At 36.9% G+C, this 8,189-nt stretch overlaps 1 annotated feature.

The window, feature by feature from the left end:
- Positions 4,239-5,599: an enhancer, noted in NCBI's record as "VISTA enhancer hs1746". NCBI's record gives its function as "enhancer in: forebrain[4/5]" and the evidence as "EXISTENCE:transgenic organism evidence [ECO:0001131][PMID:17130149]".

Here is an 8,189-nt window from a genome sequence, read left to right as displayed (position 1 = left end):
AAGATATGGAATCAACCTAAGTATCCATCAACAGGTGAATGAATAAAGAAAATGTGGTACATATACACAATGGAATATTATTCAGCCATAAAAATGGATGAAATTCTGTCATTTGCAGGAACATGGGTGGAACTGGAGGATATTGTGCTAAGTGAAACAAGACAGTCACAGAAAGACAAACTTTGCATGTTTTCACTCATACCTGGGAGCTAAAAAACATAAAAAGAATTGAACTCATGGAGATGGAGAGTGGAATAATGATTGTCAAAGGTTGTGAAGGGTGTGGGGAGGAGGAGATAAATGGAGATGGTTAGTGGGTATAAAAATACAGTTAGATAGAAGGAATAACATCTAGTATTTGGTAGCACAATAGGATGACTATGGTTAAAAATAATATATTTTATATTTTAAAGTAACTAGAAAAGTGGAATTGGAATGTTCCTAAAACAAAGAAATAATAAATGCTTGAGGTGATGGATACCCCAATTACCCTGATTAGATCATTATACATTGTAAGCTTGTATCAAAACATCACATGTACCACATAAATATATACAACTACTACGTATCCATAATTAAAAATTTTTTTAAATGTTAAATTTTTAAAACTGAAACTATATGGTAAGCTACATATAAACAAAGTTAAAGGACAAGCAAAGAACTGGGAAAAATATCTGTAACATGTCTAAAAAAGGATTAATAATTTTTCTACACAAAAATTTCTGCAAATAACCAATCAAAAAATGGATGAAGCATACTATACCGAGATTCTTTAAAAAATAATAAAAATCGGCAAAAAATATGAAAATATGTTCACTTCCACTAGAAAATAACATAAAACTTAAAATAATGCACCACTTTCCCAGATTAAGAAGAATTTAAAATCTAGATAATATCAAGTACTGGTAGGTGTGAAAGGGAATGGATATTCATGGACTGTTAAACAGAATATATACATATGTCCACACACACACAGACACACACGCATGTATATATATACATATGAAGCTAGGTAGTGTCTAATATGTGTGTATATCTATATGCCCCTGTGACAATGAACTTTCATTTCCAGGAATCTATAATCCATTTTATAAAAGTATTATCACAAATATTTATAAAGGTATATGTGTGATATATATGAGGATGTTTGTTTTAGCCTTTTTATTTCTCCTGTGATTCGAGTGGCCCAGAGATGGGCATAGCCTGCCTCCCAGGATGACAAGGGCTACTCTACTCCTCCATGCTGGCTGCTAGGAGCAGTGGAGCTCCAGACAGCCAAAGCTTGAGGGGACTCAGTTTTGTTTTTAATGGTAGAAAAGGAGAGGTGGACAACCTAAGGGTCTATCAATTTACTATACTATACCCACACAGTGGAATACTAGGCAGCCATTAAAAAGCCAGGAGTAGATTTATATATCCTGTAAAGACACCCAGATAACTTGTTAAGTGAAAGAATAAATTATTGTCTCATATGTCTAACATTGCAACTTTATTTTTTAAAAAGAACATATTTATGTCTATTTATATATAAACATGGATTTATAAGCATAGGACAATGTCAAGAGATCTATGCACCAAAATGCTTCAGAAGTAACCCCTACTCCTCTGGGGGTGATTGGAGAAACTAAAGGGGGTACTTTCATTTTTTACTTTATATTATTTTCCCAAAAGATGATAGAATAAAGATAATATTTATACTTTTTCCGTGCGAGTTTTAAAAATGCAAACAAAATCATAAAGTGGTCAAAAGAATGGTTATCACTATAAGTCCAATAATTTCATTCGTTTATTGAACCAACAATTAAGCACCTACTTGGGCATCTGGCACTATGCAAGATGCTGACGGTAAGTGACTAAGGGACTAAGCCAGGGTGCCTACTATTAAGAAAATTAAATCCACACACCTGTATGAGAAAGAAATAAGCAGACAGTGACAACCCTACTGGGAGTATGTTGACACCAGTAACCAAAACAGAAAAGACAGAGACAGATTTGGAAGACTGGAGGTGATGACGAGTCTGGTTTTGGATATCTGGACTTGAGAGTTGCCTGTGGGACCTCCAGGTGGAACTATCCAACAGACTGATAGATGCCTCTGGAGTTTGAAGGGAGAGATTTGGGCTACAGGTAGGAATCTTAGAGAACCTTGCCAGATGTAATATGAAACTCATGTGAGTTGGCAAGATCACTTAGGAAGAGTGTGAACAGTGAGAAGAGCCCCACCTGGGAACCCAATCTTGAAAGTGCAGGTGGAGAAAAAGGGACCAGACCTGCCCAACATGGAGAGCTGCAGCATATTCTCCAAACTTCATAACAGAGCTATTGTTAGTGACTTGAGAGCTGGTCCAGGGGCAGAATCCAAATTGTGATCCATTAGGAGTGGAAAAGAGCTGAGTGAGTGGAGACTGTGTTTGTGCACTACCTTTGTGAAAAGCTTGGAAGGGAATTGAAGGAAAGGTATCTCAGACAGGTAGTTAGAAGAAGATGAAGTGTCAAGGGAGAGGTGTTTTTTTTTTTTTTAGATTCAACTACCCAGAAGAGAGAGTAACCTTGATTTCTACTTCATATCTTGTTTGTTTTCACTTTATATAGTGTAACACAAGCAGCAATATCACCAACAGTCTTTTAAATATTATTTTAAAATGTGTAGCATTCATATAATGATAGCACAAGTATGTAACTAATAATATGATTAACTAATATATTTAACTAAATAGTTCTTGGTGGGCATTTAGGTTATTTCCAATTTGAGCTAATTATGAGTAACACCTATATACATAAATCTTTGAACATATCTCTGAAGCAGTTCAAGGTGTGTGCCAATAAGTAGAATTTCTGGGCCAAAGTCTAAGAACCATTTTAAGGCTCTTGATGCAAATTACCAATTGCCTTCTAGCGGGTAGGTGAATGTCCTCCTCTGCACACCTCTGCCACAATTGGGCATTAGTGCTTAAAGAAAAACTGTCCATTTAATAAACAGTAATTAGGGTACTGTTAAGTTAGTGGTTTTTAGCATTAATAAGGATTTCATGCTCATTGGCCATTTGCATTTCTTCATCATGAATTATCTGCTCATGTCCTTTGTCCACATTTCTATTGAGTGATTTCATCTTTTTCTTATCGACTTGTCAGAATCCTTGCTATATATGTATTGTAAATATTGTTCGGAGTCTGTCATTTGCCTTTTAATTTTAGTTATGATGACTTTCTTGACTTGCAGTTCTTTTTGTAATCAAATTCTAATCAATTTGTTTAGGGGCATCCTGTGAGGTCTACTTTTATTAATAACTTTTTACACCAAATAGCTATCCAATTATCTCAGTACCTTTTATGGGATAAATAATTATTTTTCCAGGTCAGAAACAACACCTTTCATGCATGATAAATTTTTATATACTGGGGCCTGTTTCTAGATTTTTTATTTTGTTCCATTAATCTACATCTATTTTTGACAGTGATACCGTACAGTTTTATTTTTTATTTTTATTTATTTATTTACTTGAGATGGAGTTTCACTCTTGTTGCCCAGGCTGGAGTGCAATGGCACCATCTCGGCTCACCGCAACCTCCGCCTCCCAGGTTCAAGCAATTCTCCTGCCTCGGCCTCCTGAGTAGCTGGGATTACAGGCATGCGCCACCACACCTGGCTAATTTTTTTTTTTTTTTTTTTTTTTTGGAGATGGAGTCTCTGTTCCCCAGGCTGGAGTGCAGTGGCGCAATCTCAGCTCACTGCAAGCTCCGTCTCCCAGATTCACGCCATTCTCCTGCCTCAGCCTCCCGAGTATCTGGGACTACAGGCGCCCGCCACCACGCTTGACTAATTTTTTTGTATTTTTAGTAGAGACGGGGTTTCACCGTGTTAGCCAGGATGGTCTTGACCTCCTGACCTCGTGATTCACTCGCCTTGGCCTCCCAAAGTGCTGGGATTACAGGCTTGAGCCACCACGCCCAGCCTTAAATTTTGTATTTTTTTAGTAGAAACAGGGTTTCTCCATGTTGGTCAGGCTGGTCTCGAACTCCCAACCTCAGGTGACCTGCCCCCCTAGGCCTTTGAATGTCTGATAGCACAAGGTAGTAGAGGGAGGGAGAGAAGACAAGAAAAAGGAAATCCTCATCCTAGGCACATCTCAGTGGACCTCAGAATGGCCCAGTGATCCAGCAATATCAACCCCACTACTTTGAACTACACAGAGTTATGTTTGTTGTTTGTTATTCTTGTTTGGTTTGGTGCTTTGCTTTGGTTGGGTTTGGTTTGATTCAGTGAACTTCCTGGTAGGACTTAAAGGCAAAGATCTATGCTCACTCAGTTTCTGAATATCAGCTCTGCAAGGAGCCCTGTGCAAGGAGCAACAAGGTATACTCAGTTTGGATGCACTCCCCCAGTCCCTAAGGGAAAGGAGGAGTGACTTGTGGAAAGGAGTAGTGACTCTTCCTGCATGAGCAAGAATTAACCACAACAATCATTGAGTTTTACTGTATTAGGAAAAGGAGGGAGGTAATCTCTTGACACAGACTGACACACTTGCTCACGTCCAACATTCACCAAATGACATGTTCAAGAAGGCACCAGTGGGGCTTTCAAGGATTTTAGATTAAAGAAGCCTAAATTGGGTTTTGTAAAACTCAGAGAAAATTTCACTTCCCACAAATTCAAATCAGGGCACTCCTCTTCTCAATATGCCAAATCTACATCAGGCTTCCCAGGCTCCCCATCATTATTAGTTTATAAAGATTCATTGATATTCAATTAAGTAGTTCTAATGTTCTCAATGCAGCCCTAGACAGCACTTTATAAAGAATACATCCGCCCTCTGGAGACAGCTGGGGAAGCCAATTAGTCGGAGTAAATTTACATATCAATCCAGCTGTGGAATGAAGTCGGCCTTGTTCACCAGTCACAATGTGAAGAGCAAAGGGAGGAATCCTAGCGCTCCCTTGTCTTTTATTCCCTCAACTCAAGTGAGCTACAGCTCTCATTAAAAGTCTGTGAATACTGGGAGAGAGAACCTATAAATGCTCCCATTCCCTGCCAAGTATGCACTATCACTTAGAAGCAATTATTAATGGGGAATGTTTAATGCTCTCCCAAAGGTTAGTACTAATTCACATAAATATTGTATCACCTAAGAAATGATTTTTGTTCAAGGAGTTGAAAAATTGGGAACTAATTCTATTGTCAAGTTAAACTTCAATATAGCGAGGTTCCATTTTTTCTAATGATTTCATTAGATAGCAAGGATCCAACTCAATTCAAAAAACATTTAATGAATCACTACCATGCTAAGGTCCTGTGCAAAGAATGTGAGGAAGGACTTTGGTAAGGTACAAATAGCAACGTTTAATGATGGCAAATTGATAGACTATAGAGTTAGCTGAGTCCTTAAGCCACTGAGCCAAACCCTAGATACTTTCAGAAGTTCTGCCACTAGAATCCTCCCAAGGCAGCCTTTCTGATCTCCAAGTCAATTTATTATGTCTCCCCTAATGGCTCCATTCCCAGGCTAAACTGCAGCTCTTCCACATTTGACAGAGCTCTGCTAGCCCTCTACACTAGCATCAGCTCTCCGCTGAACATGTTGCTGCTGGTCTCTCCTTGAAACATTGCAAATTAGAAGAGATTGGAACAACATCCTTAATGTGCTGAAAGAAAAATATCTATTTAGAAGCCTATATAGCCAGCAAAAGTATTTTTCGTACATTAAGGTGAAATAAATACATTTTCTGACTAAAAAAAAGAAGAAGAACTAAAAGAATTTGTCATCAGGAGACGTGCATATGGGCAAGATAAAACTCTGGGGATTCACAGACATGTTCAGTATCTTGATTGTGGCAGTGGTTTCATGGATGGATACACATGTTTATCCACATATATATCTCAGACTCATTGGAATAGCACAATTTGAATATGTACAGATTATTATACATAAGTTATACCTTTAAAAGTATTATAAAAAGATGACTGGCTGTCTAAAGCAAAATAGCAATGATGTATTATGGAGTTTGTAAGACATAAATAACTAAAACATACGATGATAGTACAAAGGACAAGGGAATGGAAGTACACTGTTATAAGATTTTAACCACCAATGTGAGTTGTAAGAAAATGATTTATTGCATGTTGTGATAAGCTAGAGACTCATAAGTTAAACCTCATTGCAAACATGGAACAAAGAAGTGTGCCAAATAAGCCAAAAGTGGAAGTAAAATGAAACAATAAAATTAATCCAACTTAATACAAAATAAGTCAGGACAAGAGGGAAAAGGGAACAAAGAACAGACGGGACAAATAGAAAAAAAATGGATAACAAGAGGTTACACTTAAATGCAGCCATGTTAAAAATTATATTAAATATAATCATCTAAACACTGAAATCAAAATTCAGAGATAATAAGACTAGGTAAAAAGGCAAGATCACTCAGTATGTTGTCTTCAATAAATGAATTTTAAATTCAATGACACACTTAGGCTAAAAGTAATCAGAAGAAAAAAGCTATACTATGCAAATATTAATCATAATAAAGTTGGACAGATGATATTACTATCAGATAAAATGAACATTGAGGAAAACAAAGGAAGTAGTTAATATCCTCACTTTAGGGATGAGATAGCTGAGGTCCAGAGGAAATGAAATGCATTTTTCAATATCATATTACTAGAAACTTGGAAACATGTAGCCTGGAGGTTCTTGTTAGGAAATTTCAGGTTAGATGCATGGTGGTAGTAGAAAAGGCTTGAAAACTGTGGGGCTGCCTAGGGGCAAATATTTCAAGTATAATAAACAATACCTTTTGAGCATCACAAGATCATTAAAGGGTCAGATCTGACCCTTTGGCTTACTGATAGCCGAGTTGTTCTCTTCATATCATATACAATTTTACTGACAAATTGTCCACATATAATATTTATTATATTTGATTTGGGTTTTTCCCTAATAATTTATTAACAGCCTGGTTGACTTGAGATTTATGAAAAAATAAATTTGTTTAATGAAACAGTGATCAGCTATGGTAATGCTGATCATTATGCTTTTATACAATGGTTCATCTTAGGCACAGAAGAAAGAAAGGCAGTAGCCCCTGTCAACTGTGCTTTGTTAATGCCAGAGCAGGACCTAAGCCAAGTACTTTCCTAGCATTATCTCATTTAACTTTATGAACAAACCTATTATCCACATTTTGTACACGAACCTGAAAGAGCATTTCACTGATGTCTTGAAAACCAAAGCAAAGAGAGTTACAAGAAGGGAATTTTTTTTTTCACTTAAACTTTCTGTTTTTTTTCTTCTTGCATCAACATTATTGAGTTATAATTTACATGCAATAAAATGGACCACCCCTTTTTGACTGTATAGTTTGACAAAGTTTTACAAAAGTGTACGCTCATGACCACTGCCACAATTAATACATACATTTTCATAACTCTCAAGTGTTCCCTCATGTTCCATTTCAGTCCATCTGCCCATACCCATTTCCCAAGGCAACACTGAAATATTGACAACCGTGTACTGTTTCCCCAATATTTTGAAAAATATGACACATTTCATCTAATCTAAAATGCCATTGATTTTGAGATGCATCCCAGTTTTGAGGATGTTACAACAGGAAAAAAAGAGTATCTTCAAATCTATGAAATTGTATGCCTCCTTTTATATCTATAAAATGCTTTGCAAATGCGAGCAACTATTATTAGGAGCTAATAATGGTCCTGGTTTTATTAACCAAAGAGACATGGTAACTTTTAGTTAGTTGTTGCACACCTCTCATATTGCTCAGGAGGAAAACTGAGGCTATAAGGAGGAAAGGACTTCTCTATGGCTCCAATGGAAAGGGAAGGCATCTGCCACCCTAGAAGACTCCCTTCTATTACAGTCTTGCCCCAAATGGGTTAAGAGAGGACTTAGGCCAGGGAGGGCTTACTACACAGTCTGGGTGGTAGGAGATTAAAGTTTTCAAAGGTCAAGATAATGTTCCTTCCCACCAATCCCATCCCAAGATATTTTCAGTCATTGCAATAGCTACATTCATTATCTCAGATTCATGATTACATGAACACAATAGCCAGATCAGAATCATGACAGGCTCAGAAGCCTATGGTAAATGGAATTTGAATACTAAATCTAAAGAATATTGTTCATCTTGGGTTTGAATTAAGAACAAAGAGAAATGGAAGTCAAGATGAAAATACCTGT

Source organism: Homo sapiens, chromosome X, assembly GCF_000001405.40.
Source record: "Homo sapiens chromosome X, GRCh38.p14 Primary Assembly".
NCBI lineage: Eukaryota > Metazoa > Chordata > Mammalia > Primates > Hominidae > Homo > Homo sapiens.
Note: the sequence above shows the minus strand (reverse complement) of the source record. Positions and strands in the feature narration are given on the sequence as shown.